The 19,035-nt window shown below is 34.6% G+C and overlaps 1 pseudogene, besides 1 other annotated feature; it reads left to right on the plus strand.

Moving 5' to 3' along the window:
• On the plus strand, nucleotides 3,176–3,470 carry CAPZBP1 (CAPZB pseudogene 1; annotated as a pseudogene).
• Nucleotides 17,205–18,404: an enhancer, noted in NCBI's record as "MED14-independent group 3 enhancer chr2:104254041-104255240 (GRCh37/hg19 assembly coordinates)". NCBI's record gives its function as "activates an origin of replication core promoter dependent on BRD2, BRD4, P300/CBP and CDK7 cofactors, and independent of MED14, by STARR-seq in HCT116 cells {active_cell/tissue: HCT116}" and the evidence as "EXISTENCE:reporter gene assay evidence [ECO:0000049][PMID:35650434]".

The following is a 19,035-nucleotide window of genomic DNA, read 5'->3' on the forward strand; positions in this document are numbered from 1 at the left end:
TAGACAGAACTTTTCAAATATGTAATTCTTTCAAATTTAGTACCTTTAATGCTTATGTATTTTTGCCAGTGTAAATGTTAAATCCACAAAGAAAACCAGTGTTCCATGTAAGAATCCAATAAAGAAATAATTACGGAGTCAATAACAGAAAAAATATTTGTCACAATGCTGTAGAGATAAGTTGCCAAGTGTCGACCCCACAAAACGTTGGTACTCTACATAAACCTTTCCTAGGAGAACAGGCAAGTGACAATTTACTATCTGTGGAACAGAACATCTGACCCTCTCCAACCCCCAGCAGCCAAGTAACAACTTTGCAAAGCCTTGGTGCTCTGTACAAACGTTTCTCAGGCTAGGAGGCAAGCCGCTGTCCAGGCATATCTGTGCAGCATAGCCTCTGGCCCTGCCAACCAGAGAAGCTGAACAGCAACCTCAGAGACCTCACTCAACCCTAGAGCGCAGAATGCAGCTCTGTCCATCTAAAGATTTCAACTGGAAGGACCACCCAGCCAGGGAAGACAGCATGCAATCCTGCCTAATCAGAGGATGTGGTGAAGACAAGTCAGTAGCTCTGCTTGGCTGTGGAGTCCAGCCAGTGGTCTTACTGGTCTGTGGAGCACTGCTAGCAGTTCCACTCCACCTCAGACAAGACAGTGGCCCTGCTCAACTAGAGAACCTGGCAGCAGGGTCTATTTGTCCAGAATTGCTACCAACTGGCCTATCTAGAATCCCAGGCTAGTCTAAATAGTAAAGATCCATCTCTACAAAGAACATCTGCAAAGGCTGGTAGAGGTGGCCATTTTCTTAAATGTTCAGACACCAATGAGAGGACACAAGGATTACAAAACATCAGGGGGACATAACACCCTTAAAAAAAGAACCTAGTAAAGCTCCAATAATAGAACCTGAAAAAAATGAAAATCGGTGAAATTACTGACAAATAATCCAAAATAATCCTAAGAAGGTCAGATAATTATCATAAAAGATGGCTAGAAAATTAAATAGAACCTGGAAAACATTTCATTAACAGAATGAGAAGTTTGACAAAAAATATAAACAATAAAAAAGAAATTCTAGATACAAAGATTAAAATAAATGAACAAAAAAGTAGACTTGACCAAGCAAAAGAAAAAATCAGTGAGCTTGAAGAGAGAACATTTGAAATTATCTAAAGGGGCATTAAGAAAAAGAAATGAAGAAGGTTTTTGGAAATTATGGGCACCATTAAGAGCACTAACTTTTGCATCATTCAATTCCTGAAGGAGAAAAGAGAGAAAAAGGCCCACAAAGCATGTTTAAGAAAATAATGGCTAAACGTTTCCAATATCTATGGAAAGAGAACAATCTCTACATACAGGAAGCTCGAACTCTTCAGTCAGATTAAAACCAAAAAGGAGTTCACCAAGATGCATCATAACCAAACCTGCAAAAACCAAAGGCAAAAAAAAAAAAATCTGAAAGCAACCAAATATTAAAAATACGTATCACATACAAGGGAGTTCCAATATGGCTATCAGCAGATTTCTCATCAGAAACTCTGTAAGCCAGAAGAGAGTAAGATAATATATTCAAAGTGCTGAAGGTAAAAATTGCCAACCAAGAATACTTTATTTCTCATAGCTGTCCTTTAGGAATAATGGAAAAATAAAAAAGTTCCTCAGGCAGACGAAAGCTGAAGGTGTTCATCACCACTTGGCTTGCCTTACAAGATTTACCAATGGAAGTTATTTAACCTGAAATAAAAGGCTACTAATTAATAACATAAAACATGGAAGCAAAAATCTCAATGGTATTAGTAATGCAGAGTCACATTCAGAATACTCTAATAATATAATGTTGGTGTGCAAAACAATTTTATCTCTACTATGTGAATTAAAAGACAAAAATACTGAAAACAACTATAGCTACAATAAATTGGTAAGGGATACAGATTATTAAAAGATGTAAATGTTGATGTCAAAACCATAAATTTAGGGGGAAGGAATGAAAGTATACAGTGATTGTATGCAATTAGAGTTAAACTGTTATCAGCTCACAATAGCTTGGTATGAGGTATTTTATGTAAAGCCTCATAGTAACCACAAAAAAAACTATGATAGTTGCACAAAACATTTTTGAAAATGATTCAAAGCATATCACCACAGAAAACCATCAAAGCACAGTGATGGCAAGAGAAGAAGAAGAAAAAAAAAGATCAACAGAACAACAACAAAAATTAAAAATGGCAGTCACAAGTTCTTACCTATCAATAATTACTTTAAATATAAATGGAATACATTCTCCAATCAAAAGATATAGAGTGACTGAATGAATAAAAAACAAGACCCAATTACTTTCTGCCTTCAAGAGACTCACTTTACTAGTAAGGGCACTAAGACTGAAAGTGAAGAAATGCATAATGATACTTCATGCAAATGGAAACCCAGAGACAGGAGAGGTGGCTATACTTAGACAAAACACACTTAATTCAAGAACTATAAAAAGAGAGAAAAAACTCATTATATGAAGACAAAAGGGTCAATTTATGAAGAGGACATAATCATTGTAAATATAAATGTACCCAACATTGGAGTACCTAAATATATAAAGTAATGTTAAATGAACTGTAGAGAGAAATAAACTGCAATACAATAATAGTTGGGGATCTCAATACCCCACTCCCAACAATGAATATATCACCCAGACAGAAAATCAACAAGGAAACATTGGGCATAAATTACATTTTGTATCAAATAGACCCAACATACATATTCAGAATATTCCATTCAAAATTAACAGATTATACATTTTTTTCTCAAGCAGATAAGGAACATTCTCCAAGATAGATTGTAGGTTCAGTCACAAAGCAAGTCTTAAAAAGTTTGCAGGGTTTGAAATCATATCAAGTATCTATTCTGATTACAGATACATGAAACTAGAAATTAACAATAGGAAGAAATTTGGAGAATAAACGTGTGGAAATTAAACAAGTTATGCTTTAACAACCCGTGGATCACAGGATAAATAAAAAAATTAAAAAATGCCTTGAGTCAAATAAAAATAGAAATACAAGCTTATTCAATGCAGCAAAAGCAATCCCAAGAGAGAAATTTATAGCAACAAATGCCTGTTTCGAAAAAGAAGATCTCAACGAATTTAATGTTACACCTCAAGAACCTAGAAAAAGATGAATATGGGAAGTGCCTGGCCCTGCTGCCATGGGGTGGAAAATCACAGACACCAGGATGGGGACTGCCGCTGCCTCTGCCACCATGAGTGATCAGCAGTTGGACTATGCCTTAGACCTAATGAGGCACCTACCTCCACAGCAAATTGAGAAAAAGCTCAGCAACCTGATTGACCTGATCCCTCATCTATGTGAAGATCTCTTGCCTTCTGTTAATCAGATAATGAAAATTGCCAGAGACAAGGAAGTGGGAAAGGATTACCTTTTGTGTGACTGCAACAGAGATGGGGATTGCTATAGGTCAAGGGGATTGCTATAGATCAAGATAAAAGTCTGCTGGGATTCACATTGTGGACTGTGAAAAGGCACAGCACCTTCTCTCCCTGAGAATAAAGCCAGATGGCCACCCTCTGCCATTTCTGAACCTGTCTCCCATCATACATTGCTATCCAAACTCTTCATATTTCCATAGAGACCGTGTGTTTTCTCTTCACCTGGGCCCCTGCCCCTGTTTCCTCCCAGTCCCCCAACTTATAAGCATAACATACACTGTCTGTCAGGCTCCCTTCCCTTCCACCTTTTTGTTACATTGGTGTAAAAAATGTAAAACAAAAAAATTATGAACTAAAAAAAAAGATGAATATATTAAGCCCCAAGTTAGCAAACAGAAGAAAATAATAAAGATTTGAACAGAGATAAATGTAATAGAGAGTAGAAAAATAATAGAAAAAAATCAACAAACCAAGAGTTGGTTTTTTGAAAAGACAAAATCACCAAATCCTTAGCTAGACTATCTAGGAAAATAGGAGTTATTAAAGCTGGACAAGGATACTACAAGGAAAGAAAATTATAGGCCAATATTTCTGATGACCATAAATGCAAAAATTCTCAATATTAAGAAACCAAATTGAACAACACATTATAGAATCACTGACCATGATTTTAGGGGGGAATTATCTCTGGGATCCAAAGATAGTTCAATATAAACAAATCAATAAATGTAATATGCCACATTAACGGAATGAAGGACGCAAACCTTATGATCATTTCAATAGATGCAGAAAGAGCATTTGACAAAATATAATACTCTTTCATAATAAAAACTGTCTACAGATTAGGTATAGATTAAATATACCTCAACACAATAAAGACTATAAATAACAAATACTAATTAACATTATATTCAGTGGTGAAAAGCAAAGTAAAGTGCTTTTCTGCTAAGATCAGGGTCAAGATAAGGATGCTCACACTCACCACTTACTTTCAACACAGTACTGGAAGTCCTAGCTAGAGCAATTAGGCAAGAGAAAGAAATAAAAGGCATACTAATAGGAAAGTAAGATGTGAAATTGCTGATCACATGATCTGTTAAAAAGGAAACCTTAAGGATTCCACCAAAAAATTGTTAGAAGAGTTAAACAAATTCAGTAAAGTTGCAGGATACAAAATTCATATAGAAAATATATATGCTATGTTTATATATACTAATAATGAACTAGCAGAAAAAATTAATTCTATTTACAATAGCAACAAAGATACTTAGGTGCAAATTTACTTAGAGGTGAAACACATATATGCTGAAAATTATAAAACACTGATGAAAGAAATTGATTAAAACACAAATAAATGAAAAAAATCCCATGTTCATGTACTGAAAGAATTAGTAGTGTTAAAATGTATATATTACCCAAAGTGATTTAAAGAGTCAATGCAATCCCTATCAAAATTGCATGGCATTTTTCAAGAAATAGGGAAAACGATGTTTAAAGTTGTATGAAACTATGAAATAATGTGAATAGCCAAAACAACCTTGAACAAAAAGAACAAGGTTAAAGGCATTGCACTTCATGACTTCAAAAGTTATTATAATTAAAACAGCATGCTACTGGCATAAAAACAGAGACATCAATGAATGAAGCAGGAAGAAAGCTCAGAAACAAACCAACACATTTATGGTCAATTGATTTTGGACAAGTATGTCAAGAATACTCAATGGGAAAAAGAGAGTGTCTTCAATAAATTATATTGACACTACTCAACTTTAAACTATACCATAAGGCTACAGTAATAAAAACAGCATGGTACTAGTATAAAAACCTACACATAGACCAATGAAACATAATATAAAGCACAGTAAAAAGATACACACCTACAACTGTCTAATCTTTGACAAAAGTCACAAAAACAGGCAACGGTGAAGTAATTCTCAATTCAATAAATGGAGCTGGGATATCTGACTACCCATATGCAGAAGAATGAAATTAGACCCTTACCTTTCACCACATACAAAAATTAAATAAGATGTATTAAAGATTTAAATGTAAGAGTTCTAACTATAAAAATCTTAAAAGAAAACCTAGGAAATACTCTTCTCAATATTGGTCTTGGCAAAGAATTTGTGGCTAAGTTTTGAAAAGCAATTGCAATAAAACCAAAAATTGATAAGTGGGATATAGTTAAACTAAAGAGCTACAGTACAGCAAAAGAAACTATCAACAGAGTAAACAGGCAACATATCAAATGGGAGAAAATATTTGCAAACTATGCATCCAACAAAGGTCTAATGTCCAGAATCTATAAGGGACTTGAACAAATCAACAAGCAAAAAAAAAAAAAAAAAAAAAAAAACCATTAGAAATGGGCAATGGATATGAAGAGACGCTTCTCAAAAAAGACATCAAACAGCCAAAAAGACATAGAAATAGCCAACAGACATTTTAAAAAATGTTTATCATCTCTAATCATCAGAGAAATGCAAATAAAAACCATGATGAGATACCATTTCACACTAGTCAAAATGACTTATATTAAAAAAGTCAAAAAAATAGACTTGGGTGAAGTTGTGGAGAAAAAGAAATACTTATAAACTGCTAGTGGGAATATAAATTAGTTCACCCACTGTGGAAAGCAGTTTGGTGATTTCTCAAGGAACTTAAAACAAAGCTACCATTGAACCCAGCAATCCTATTACTGGATGTATAAGCCAAAGAAAATAGATCATTATACCAAAGAGACACAAGCACTTGCATGTTCATCACAACACAATTTACAATAGAAAAGACATGGAATCAACCTAGGTGCCCATCAAGAGTGGATTTGGATAAAGAAAATGTAGTACATATACTACATGGAATAGTATGCAGCCGTAAAAAATAATGAAATCATGTCCTTTGCAGCAACAGGGTTATAGCTGGAGTCCATAATCCTAAGTGAATTACTGCAGGAACAAAAAATTAAATACTACATGTTCTCACTTGTAAGTGGGAGTTAAACATTGAACACACATGGACAGAAACATGGGAACAAGAGACATGTGGGCTACTAGAGTGGGGAGGGAGCAGGGTGTGAATTGAAAATCTACCTATTATGTACCATGTTCACTACCTGGGTGTAATATACCTATGTAATAAATCTGTACATGTACCTCCTGATTCTAAAATAAAAGTTGAAATTAAAAACAAAACAAAAAATTGTGTAGGGAAAACCGGTTTGCCACATGCAGAAGGATAAGATTGGACCCGTATATTATACCATACACAAATATCAACTCAAAATGGAAGAAGGCCTAAATATAAAACCTGAAACTGTTAAACTACTAGAAAAAAATATGGGACAACTTATACAACATTAGTTGGGCAATGACTTTTGCATATAACCTCATGGGGTTGCATCAAACTAAAATGCTTCTGCACAACAAAGAAAACAATTAACAAAGTGCAGAAGCAACCTACAGAGTGGATTAAAATATTTCCAAACTACTCATCTGATTAGGAGTTAATATCCAAAATATATAAGAACTCAAACAACTCAATAGCAAAAACAAACAACCTGATTAAAAAAGTAGGCAAATGATCTAAAAAAACATTTCTCAAAAGAAGACATCCAAACGACTAAGAGGTACATAAAAAAGATTCTCAGTATCACTAACCATTAGGGAAATACAAATTAAAACCACAATAAGCTATCACCTCACACCTGTTGCATATTATCAAAATGATGAAAGATTACAAGTACTGGTGAGGATGTAAACAAAAGGGAATCATTGCACACTGTTCATGGGAATGTAAATTAGCACATACAGTATGCAAAATTGTGTGGAGGTTCCTTAAAAAACTAAATTAGAACTATCATATGATCCAATAATCCCACTATTGAGTATGTATCCAAAGGAAAGGAAATCAGTATGTCAAAGAGTTATATTTACCTCCATGTTCATTGCAGCACTATTTACAATAGCCAAGATGCAGAATAAACCCAAGTGTCTATCAATGGATGAATGAAGAAAGTGAATGTGGTATATATACACACAATGCAATATTATTCAGCCATAAAAAGAACAAAATTCTGTTACTGGAGGCCATGTGAATGACCCTGGAGGACATTATGTTAAGTGAAATAATCCAGACATTTTATCCTATAAATGTATACAATTATAATTTGTCAATTAAAATAGCATTATTAAAAATACTAAAGAGTGCAGACTGTACCAATTCCTCTTCTTAACACTGTTATGTTAGACAGAGTAGCATTAAGGGTCAGCCTTGCATGTTCAATTAAACTGTTATATTCATTTAAAAAAATGTTCACATATGGTCAGATTTTATCATATTTCAAATTATTGCCTTGGGCATAGTTGCATATTTTGTAAAACACAAACACCATTTTTAATTTTCATTAAGACAGCAATAATTCTCAAAGCAATAATTATTCAACAGAATTCAGGAACAGACAACAGCAACAACAGTAAAGGGAGGTAATGCAAAATTTATACTGTATTTTACAGTCTACTACAAAGTAAAGACAGTTTATTGTCTATAGGACTACAGGTGATGCAGTCAGAAAAACTTGAATGGAAGTCTTGGCTTCATGCCCACCAACTGTGCAGATTTGAACCAATATAATTATTCACTGGGCTCTCAGTTTACACATACACAAATTGGAAATAACAGATACCTCTGAGAGTTGTTCTGACAATTAAATAGGATGATGTCTATTAAGTACCTGATACATTGCAAGTTGTCAATATACATTAGTAATTTCATATAATTGTATATAATCCAAAGCAGTTTCTTCAGAGGTGCTGTCATCAAACTCTTGACCATTTAATAGAAATGTAGTTAAATGACTATGATGCATAACAATAAAGTGACCTTTTCACAACTGAGGAAATGAGAAAATTATTGAAGTGGGAAGTAAGAGGAAAAGATATTTAAAATAGCCTTTATTTTAGTATAACATAAAATATATAGAATTCTAAAAATGTTCAAAGAAATCCCTCTAATATTCAGGGAGTTACCTAATATTCACTTAATTTTATTAAAAATACTGATTATAAACACTATATTGCATTCAACATATATTCATGTTTTTCCTCATGTGCCAGGTATTGATAGACACCAGCAGTCACCTTTGATGCCTCCTACTCTCTCCTTTGTACTGGTTCTAAGTCCTGTTCCAGGTCCTGTTCATTCTGTAGTTTCCCATGCCCATGTCCTCCTTGTCATTCCCCTAGTCATTGCTTCTGTTCAGACCTATTTCATCCAAACTTATAAAATGTATTCCCAACTTCTTCTGCAACTTTCATTATTATTTCTTTTAGTGTTTAAGTTGAACTGGTATCAGTTCAATAACATGAGTGAAATTATGTCAACTCTCTAAAACACAAAAACTGGCAAGGATTTTCCCAACACCCCCACAATAAAATCTAACTATTTATGTGATTTTTGTCTCTTTATCATTTGAAGAGACAAAATCCACTTTCCAATTTATTTCCTATAATTACAAGGAAAATAAAGTTTTTGATGAGCATGGGCTATGGATGATTAGTCAGTGGTAATACTAATAGGAATAATGTGGTAAACACTAGAATAAATAATGTTGAAAGCTATGGAAGTTTTGAGGGTAAATTTTATAGTTTAGATAAAATAGATATAGACTTGGTAGGGAAGTGAATGAGATCAACAAGAGCTGGTAACCCAGCGGGAAATGGAGGGAGTGATCATGTGGCTGACATGTGTGCAGTGAGATGTCTATAAAGGTAGAGTTAGTAATCTGGGAGGGATATACTCAAATTTAGACTCCCAAAGTTAAGCAGTTCCACATTCCATAGGTCTAGAATGCAGCCATAGGTTTGATTTACTTTCTGTGTTCTATAGACAGAATGTGTTCCTCCAAAGTTCATATATTGAAATCCAAATCCCCAAGAGGATAATATTAGGAGGTAGGGCCTTTGAGAAGTGATTAGGTCATGAGGGTGAGGCCTTCATGATTGGGAATAGTGTCCTCATAAAACGGCCCAAGAGAGCTAGCTAGTCCCTTCCACACTGTGAGGACACAGCAAAAAGGTGCCATGTGTGATTCAGAAGATGGGCCCTAACCAGTGCTGATATAATAACATGCTGATGCTTTAAACTTGAAACTTCTCCACTTCCATAACTGTGAGAAATAAATTGTTTATAACTTACCCAGTCTATAGTATTTTTATACCAATCAGAACCAAATAAGACATGGAAGTTAAAACATTGTCTTCTCTTCCAGTCTCCAAGAAGAGAGATGCTTCCTAAATAGACCTAGTCGTTTGCAAATCTCTACTCCACCTCCTGAAGTGAAGGGACCTATTTAATGAATTTGGGAAATGGGGTGGCCATATGTGATGAAGCCTCTTTTCTCTTCGTGATCTACTTGGTTGTGGTGAGCACACTCTGGTCTGCTACTCAAGCCATACATTTTATAAATGCAGTTCTGCCCCATCCAGAGTCCACAGTTGTCCTGCATTGCCTGTGACTGAGATCAGAGAGTCTGTCTTTTTCTGGGGTCATTTGGAAGCTCATTGTTTTTCAGTTATCCAAGCCCCATCCTACAAACTATCCCTTATTGGAAATAAGAGTTGTATTTTTATGTTCGTCTAACTTATTCTTTTGATTTATCTCAATAGGTTCAGAATTTGAAGAGTTCTTATTAATTTCTTATGTGTATCTTCTAGGTAAAAAGTTAATATTTGATTGATAGCTGAGTTGTATTCAATGTTAACAGTTATGGAGATATTTTATATGTTTTTTAAGGCATAATGTTTTAGTCATCCCTTAGGTTGTATTATGCCAGACCTAGAATAAAATGCATTGTGTGTTGTGGGAAAGAATACCTTATCAATTCAATGCTCTTTTATGGAAAAATAAAAATAAAATAAAAGATAACTATACCCTAGCTGCTTAAATTGTCTATTCTATAACATCTAGATTTATGTAAAACACAATATTGTAAAGAAAAAATAAAAACTTAAAAATTCATATGTCTAATGTATCAATAGAGAAATTATTTTATTTCTGTTTTATCTTAGCCCAAACTTCATTACACAAACTGAAAATATTTCTCCACAAAATAAATGTCCCAATAATTTGAAGGATATCTGGGTATGTCTTAAGAAAGTGTAGAGAGGCACTATACACTTTGTTGTCCAAATCGTCCACAAAACTACAGGAACATTGTGGAGATATTGTGGATTTTAGTCCAGACCGTGGCAATAAAGTGAATATCACAATAAAGTCAGTCACATTTTTTTTTGGTTTCCCAGTACATATAAAAATTATGTTTACACAATATTATAGTCTATTAAGTGTACAATAGCAGTAAGTCTAAAAATGTACATACCCTAAATAAGAAATATTATATTGCCAAATAATGCTAACAATCACTTAGCATTTGTTTGTTGTAATATTTTCACTGGTGGAAGGTCCTGCCTTGATGTTGATGGCTACTGATGGATCAGGGTGGTGGTTGCTGAAGGTTGGTGTGTCTGTGGAAATTTCTTAAAATAAGACAACAATAAAATTTGCCACATCAATTGACTCTTCCTTTTGCAAAAGATTTTTCTGTAGTGTGATTTGACGGCATTAGAGACCAAGATCTGGGTAGTGGCTATATTTGTTTCTATTTTGATGTAGTTGCCCGTAGGCCACTTAGCTGACAATGAAGGGAAATCTGTTTGTTTATACTGGCCAATGCATATAAACCATAAATATTTCTATATGCAAACATCTGTATCAATATTAAGCTAAACTGAGTTCACTCAGATATCGCCAATGCTAATACACTTCCTTGTGAATCATTCTAGCATTCTCTTCTTTCTTGTCTTTATACTTCCACTGCCACAGTGAGAAAACTGGTTCCAATCTTCCACCATCCATTTACATAAGAGTTTCATTTCAATATGTATGAATAGAGTTGTCAGACTTGTTAATGCATTTCCCCTGATGACAAACAAATCTATAAACTGGAATGTAATGCTTATGTGCAAATTATTTTTATGGTGACAAAAGTGCCTCCATCTTGGGTGCTAATCCGCCATGTTGACTTCTGATTAGCCCTAGTCCCATGAATGCCTCCTGGTCCCTACTTTATTGTCACTAATGTAAGAACATGTACTCACTATAAATCCTGCCTTTAGATCAAAGAAAGCTTGATGTTATCACACAAATTATAGGATGTGATGCACATAACATTGTTGCCTGTTCTAAATGTTTGCCTTCAATTGTCTGGCTGGAGCACATATACCTTTTCCCTGTGGTGTATAAGCCCTGGGTCTGGGAAGTAACTGTGGGTACATATACCTGTCTTGCAGCGGCCAAACACCACCCTTCAGTCTGTAAGTTTCTGTAATAAAACACCCTTTACTGACAAACTGGATTTGTCTATTTTCTTTGGTTTCTTTGCTCCTGTGGCATTTGGGGTTTGCCTTGCATGTGTAGCCCTATCACAGAAGACTTTGCATTTATTTTTATAGACTCCAATTATTTCAACAGGTATTTAGGTCAACATTTTTTTGACCCCTTTTACTGGCATTGTTTCATACATTTTTAAGAACATGTATATTTTTAAATAGTTACATTCTAATTTCCATCCTGGGATCCCCTGACCATCAGAATGATTTTTTTCCTGACTTTTTAATGATCGCCATCCTAATGGGTGTGAAATGGTATCTCACTGTGGTTTTGATTTGCATTTATGCAATGAACAGTGATGATGAGCTTTTTTTTCATCTGTTTGTTGGCTGCAAAAATGTCTTCTTTTGAGAAGTGTCTGTTCATATCCTTCACCCACTTTTTGATGGGGTTGTTTGGTTTTTTTTCTTGTAAATTTGTTTAAGTTCTTTATAGATTCTGGATTTTAGCCCTTTGTCAGATGGATAGATTGCAAAAATTTTCTCCCATTCTATAGGTTGCCTGTTTACTCTGATGATAGTTTCTTTTGCTATGCAGAAGCTCTTTAGTTCAGTTAGATCCCATTTGTCAATTTTGGCTTTTGTTGCCATTGCTTTTGGTGTTTTAGTCATGAAGTCTTTGCCCATGCCTATGTCCTGAATTGTATTGCCTAGGTTTTCTTCTAAGGTTTTTAAGGTTTTAGGTTTATGTTTAAGTCTTTAATCCATCTTGAGTTAATTTTTGTATAAGGTATAAGGAAGGGGTCCAGTTTCAGTTTTCTGCATATGACTAGCCAGTTGTCAGGAAACAACAGATGCTGGAGAGTATGTGGAGAAATAAGCAGGCTTTTACACTGTCGGTGGGAGTGTAAATTAGTTCAACCATTGTGGAAGACTGTGTGGCTATTCCTCAAGGATCTAGAACCAGAAATATCATTTGACCCAGCAATCCCATTACTGTGTATATAGCCAGAGGATTATAAATCATTCTACCATAAAGACACAAGCACATGTGTGTTTATTGCTGCACTGTTCACAATAGCAAAGTCTTGGAACCAACCCAAATGCCCATCAATGATAGACTGGATAAAGAAAATGTGGCACATATACACCATGGAATACTATGCAGCCACCAAAAAGGATGAGTTCATGTCCTTTGCAGGGACATGGGTGAAGCTGGAAACCATCATTCTCAGCAAACTAACCCAGGAACAGAAAACCAAACACCGCATGTTCTCACTCATAGGTGGGAGTTGAACAATGAGAACACATGGACACAGGGAGGGTAACATCACACACCGGGGCTTGTCAGGTGTGGGGGGCTAGGGGAGGGATAACATTAGGAGAAATACCTAATGTAGATGATGGGTTGATGGATGCAGCAAACCACCATGGCACGTGTATAGCTATGTGACAAACCTGTACATTCTGCACGTGTATCCAAGAACTTAAAGTGTAATTTAAAAAAAGATTTTATTTTTATTTTGGTGTACATTAAGATTTACTCTTTGTGTTGTAAAATTATAAGGCTTTTGACAAGTGCATTATGTCATATATCTACCATTACTATATCTTTTAAAAAACCACTGTACTCCATTTCTGCAAATTGTTGGCAATCACTGATATTTTTCCTGTTTCTATGGTTTTGTCTTTTCTATAATATCAAATAAATGGAGTCATATGATATGTAACCTTTTCAAACTAGCTTCGTTAATGCAGCAACATGCATTTAGCATTCATCCACATTTATGCATGACTTGAGAGCTCATTGCTTTTTTACTATGGAATAGAATGTTGTTGTATGGATGTACCACTGTATGTTTACCCATTCACTCGCTGAAACATATCCAGGTTACTTGGGGGTTTTAGAAATTGTGAATGAAACCGCTATCTTATGCAGGTTTTGTGTGAAGGTAAGTTTTCAAATCAGTTGGGTAAATAACTAGAGTGCCATTTCTGATTTTAATAACAAGACCACGTTTAGCTTTGTAAGAAACTCCCAAACTGTCTTCCAAAACAGTTCTTTCATCTTGCTTTCTCACAAACAGTGAATCAGAGTTCTTGTTGTTCTACATTTTGGCCAGCATTTGCTATTTTTAATTTTTTTGCATTTTCACCACTTTATAGGTGTGTAGTTGTATTACATTGTTGTTTTCATTTGTAGTTCCTTAATGACAAATAATGTCGAGCATCCTTCCATATGTTTGTTTGCCATCTTAACACCTTCTTTGGTAATTTAGGCCTTTTTAAAAATTGCATTGTTTGTATTCATATTTTGAGTTGTAAGAATTCTCTGTTACGATTTGATATTAGATATATATTTTGCACATATTTTCCTGTCTTTTAACATTTTTTGTGTCTTTAAAAGAGCCAAAGTTTTAATTTTAATAAAGTCCAACTTATGAAATTTTTTATTCATTCATTATGATTTTAGTGTTGTATCTAAAAATCTGTCATCATACCCAGGGTCACATGTATTTTCTTCTAGGAATTTTGTAGCTTTTCATTTTACATTTAAGTCTATGTTTCATTTTGAGTTAATATTTGTGTTAGGTATAAGGTCTGTTTCTATGAGCATTTTTATTATTTTTTGCATCTAGACATCCAAACATTCCAGCAGCACATGTTGAAATTTTTATTTTTACTCTATTTAATAACCTTTGCTCCTATGTCAAAATGCAATTGGCTACACTTGTGTGAGTTTAATCTCTAGGCTTGTATTTTGTTGCATAGGTTTTGTTTCCATTCTTTCACCAGTACGATACTTTTTTACTTTAACTTTATGGTCAGTCTTCATGTTGAGTGCCATCAGTTCTTCAGCTATAATGTTTTTCTTTTTCTTTAGTATTTCTTTGGCTCTCCTAGGTCTTTGGCCTTTTCATATAAGTTTGTTGATATCTACAAATACTTCTTTGGAATTTTGATTGAGTTTAATTAATCTGTAAAGTTAAAAGAATTGACATTTTAATATTATTAGATAATTTCAGCCAATGAACATGGACTGTTAGCCAGGATGGTCTAGATCTCCTAACCTTGTGATCCACCCGCCTCGGTCTTCCAAAGTGCTGGGATTACAGGCATGAGCCACCACGCCCGGCCCCCTATTCTATTTTTATGCTCTACTCTTGTAACCATGACTCACCCAGATATATCCATGCCATATTTATAATTCATTTTTTATATTAATAGTTCTTGAGGTTTATATTGTGAGTTATACTTCAGTAAATTCTTGGGTCTATCTCGTCTCTTCTTAGCAGATTTTTAATCAAGCCTTTTCCAATTGTGCATTTTCTGGGTAGTTCTTATTACAGTAGTCCTCATGTTTAAATGTGCAGTAAATAATTTCTTAATGGATCACCTGCACTCCTGCCAAATGAACAACTGCACAAAGAGTCCAGCTGCACTGATTAAAACCTACTAATTGCTTTAATTTGTTTTTCTTAAAAAATTCAGTTGTTTTCTTCTCTTTTTTTATTTATCAGAAATAATTCCTAAATTAGTGAGTAGGGAACAGTCAAATCTATGTTAGAGAGAGGACTGTGTTCGAAGTCTTAAAAGTATAATTGGACCTAACAGTTCATAAATTCCTCTACTGTTTATATCATTTCCTTATTTTCTGTTTGCTTTTAAACTCATCTCAATTCTATGAAAACTAGAAGCCAACATAAGAATATTTAAGTCCATTCCTTAATTAATCCCCAAGGTGTAGAAGGCCTAAACCCCAGGTGCAAAAATTTTAAACAAGACTTAAGTTTGACTGGATTATTATATTAGCTACAGGTTTTAGCATGCACCAGAAGGTAGGAACATTCCTAATGCAGAGGCAGGAGCAAGGAGAAGTGGATATGGCTGCTACTTCCTGAGTTAGATTCTCAAAGCTGGTCTGTTCATTTCATAATAAAGGATTGCTGCAATGCCAGCACATCTGTATTCAGAAACATGCCAGCACTCAATATTAATAACTGAATGTTTTTTGGAATGTCACTGTCACCCTCATTCCCCCTTTGATTTGGGACACTTGCATAATTATTCAGTTCTCTTTGATATAGACCCTTTCTTTATTGCCTCAATGTGGTATCTCTGCTGTATAATTATTAAATACAATTTGGAAGAGAACAAAGAGAAGTTGAAAAATAAATGTCATGCTTCTCTTTGCTTATTGTAAAGCAGAGGTCAGCAAGTTATGTATACACTGTGAGTCAAATCTAGCCCCCTACCTATTTTATTGGAACATAGACATACCCAGTTGCTCATGGATTCCTCAAGTTTGCTTTTTCACTACAATGGCAGATTTGAGCAGCTGTGACGGAAACCATATAACCAGCAAATATTTACTATCTTGCCCTTTAAAGAAAAAGTTTGCTCACCTCTTTTGTCAAAACTTGTTCAAAACACAAGTTTTATATAATGGTGAGTTAAAAATATTTTATCTTTTAGTGTTAGTGTTTGACCAATGCTAACAACATGCCCTACCAAATATTTGAATAAAGGCATGAGGATAATTAATATAAAAACAATTCCTAAGTTGTTATCAAAAATGGTTTTTATTACTATACTTTTAAAACTGCCATTGTGTTTCATTATTTTATTGGTAAACAGATAGTCTTTAAGAATGTTTAAAAGCAATGGAAAATCCCTTGCTGTCTCAGTTACTTTTCTTTTCAAAGAGAAAAGTGTTTTGCTTGAAGTTTCAAGCAACATAATATTTTGTTGTCAATTTTTTTTTGGATCTGTTTTAACACAGGCTTGACAGCACCATAGACAAGTGCCTCTTCTTACTGAAATAAAGTATGAACGGTTGATGCCTAGCACCAGGCAGTATATCAAAGGGTGGTCTACTTATTGTGTTATTTTCTGGTGTTGAATTCTGCACTTTATACAAAACCACAACTGCTAACTTCAAAAATAAGTTTACAGCTAAGAAGCAGACATCTAGAAAGGAAGAGCATTCTAAACAGGATGAATTTGAAAATCTACCAACTAAAATCTTTGAGGAAAATAGTGTCCCCACTTCTATAAACCAAGGCTTCTATCATCGCCAAAATACCTATAAAGTTTATGTTTTTATTTCCCTTTGAAGTGCATTTTAAATCTGAGTTTCTTATTTTGGGTCTTTGTCACTTGTTCATATCTACCATTGGTCATATTTGATGGGAGGTAGGGGACTACCACTAAGCAAGATGATTCCCTTACTTTCTTTCTCACTTCTTGGACTTCACCTTTTACACCTAATTTCCTTTTCTTGTTATTTCCGATTGTTATTTTTTTACATATTTTAAAATCTTAATTCCACTATTTACTCTTTTTTTCTCTGCCTTTTCCTTCTTTGAATCATTTGAGGGGTATATGAAAATTCTCTTCTTCTCATCTTAATTCTCATTGTCACTGCATTTGCTTGAAAAATTATTGTTTTTCTGCTATATCAAACTCCCAAAGCCCTTTTAGCAACTATACAGGGGGGACAGAACAAAAAATTGTAGTCGGGGTCACTATTGATGAATCCTGATTAGAAGTGCTGAACTGTGAGCCACAGTTATCTTTTACTGTCTTATTACCCATTTGCCACATATTAAAGTTTTGGCAATGCTTGTCCAAATAATGACTGGGTAGAAACAGTCAGGTCTTTCTTGGTGCAGTTGGCTAGAAAACAAAACCAGAATTATTTTAGACACAATTTTTAAAAATATTGTCTCGAAAAATACCAAAGCAGGTGTAGACATGTAGAAACATGTCTCAGAAAATACCAAAGCAGGTGTAGACATGTAGAAACATGTCTTGGCAATGGAGAAAATAAAACCAGTGCTGCTTATTCTTCATCAGTATTCCCAGTGTCTCTCCAACTCATGGCTCCACAATCTCCTACAGGAGTGTGGCTTCTTCCATATGAGGAAATATTTAACTCTTCATAACTTTACTTTTGCCACCTTGAGGTGTTGAGTGTCTTCCTTGGCTGCAATGAGAAAAGTCTTGGTGAGGGACTCTGAGGGGTCAGGCTTGGACTTGAGCCCGGTAATGTAACTGAGACACAGTAATCATGGTTAGAGAAAGGTCAAGGCAAAGAGTCCTTATCAGTAGGACACATTGTTCTCATAAGAAGGAAAGTGTTCTAGACAACAGAGCAATGGATATTTACTGCTGACTATTATTGCAGAGTGATCTATTTTCTGTTATTCTTACCCCTTTCCTTCTCTAAATAGTCATTTCTATAAGGATATGATTATGGTTTATTATTTCTGTTTACCCCACGTGTCTAGTACAGTGTTAGGCACATAGTGAAATCACATAAAATCAACAGATTTTTATTGAATTAATAAATCAATTCCTCTCAGTTGAAGATTTCTTTTGAGAGAAACAGTGTTTAAAGTGGGGAAAAATAATGAACCCATTTTTCATTTCATCAGTGTATCTCTTTTCCCCATTACCTGGTCTGTGCAACTAAATGTTAGTGCGTTGGATTATAAGTGTGTTTTATCCATCCTGTTTAGCATAATCCAGAATCCAATGCCAGGACAGCACTCAATAAATAAAATGTAATAATAATATACTTCCCAGGCACTTTCGCTGTCCACTACATCCCAACCAGAAAGGGCCTCTAATTTATCTGCCATCTTGAACAATAACTCTTTGCTTCAGGATATCTTAGATTCTATCAGCAGTCTTGACCTTTCCTCTTCTACTCTAACAGACCCTGGGACATCAGCCTGACTTCAGTTTGGCTGGCAATTCCTGCAACCCCCCTTATTTTCTGTTAGGTTTCATATCTCACAATCAATCTAGAACTGCCTTGCCACAAGCCACAAGCGTCCTTCCCATCCCAGTCCTTTGCCAGCTTTCTACAAATTTGTATCCTTTGAATGGCAAACACTTGAGTGCAACTGTATCTGCATTTTTATACAATTTGGGAATTATTGCAAAAAGTTCAAGGTTATAATGACGTCATCAGTTCATATTTTTTTCAACAAACCAGAATAACTTCAAACTAGCCACACTAAACACAGCTACCTCTTTATCTCTAAAGGTTGCTCTACTCTGATTCCAAAATTTTATTGTTTATTCAAATACTTAGGTCAAAATGAATTTCCAAAGATCTCAGATAACATAGAACTCACAGATGGCAACTGAAATGTAGATCTTACTACAATCACATTAATTTTTTTGGATACCATCTTATTAA

Source organism: Homo sapiens, chromosome 2, assembly GCF_000001405.40.
Source record: "Homo sapiens chromosome 2, GRCh38.p14 Primary Assembly".
Classification (NCBI taxonomy): Eukaryota; Metazoa; Chordata; class Mammalia; order Primates; family Hominidae; genus Homo; species Homo sapiens.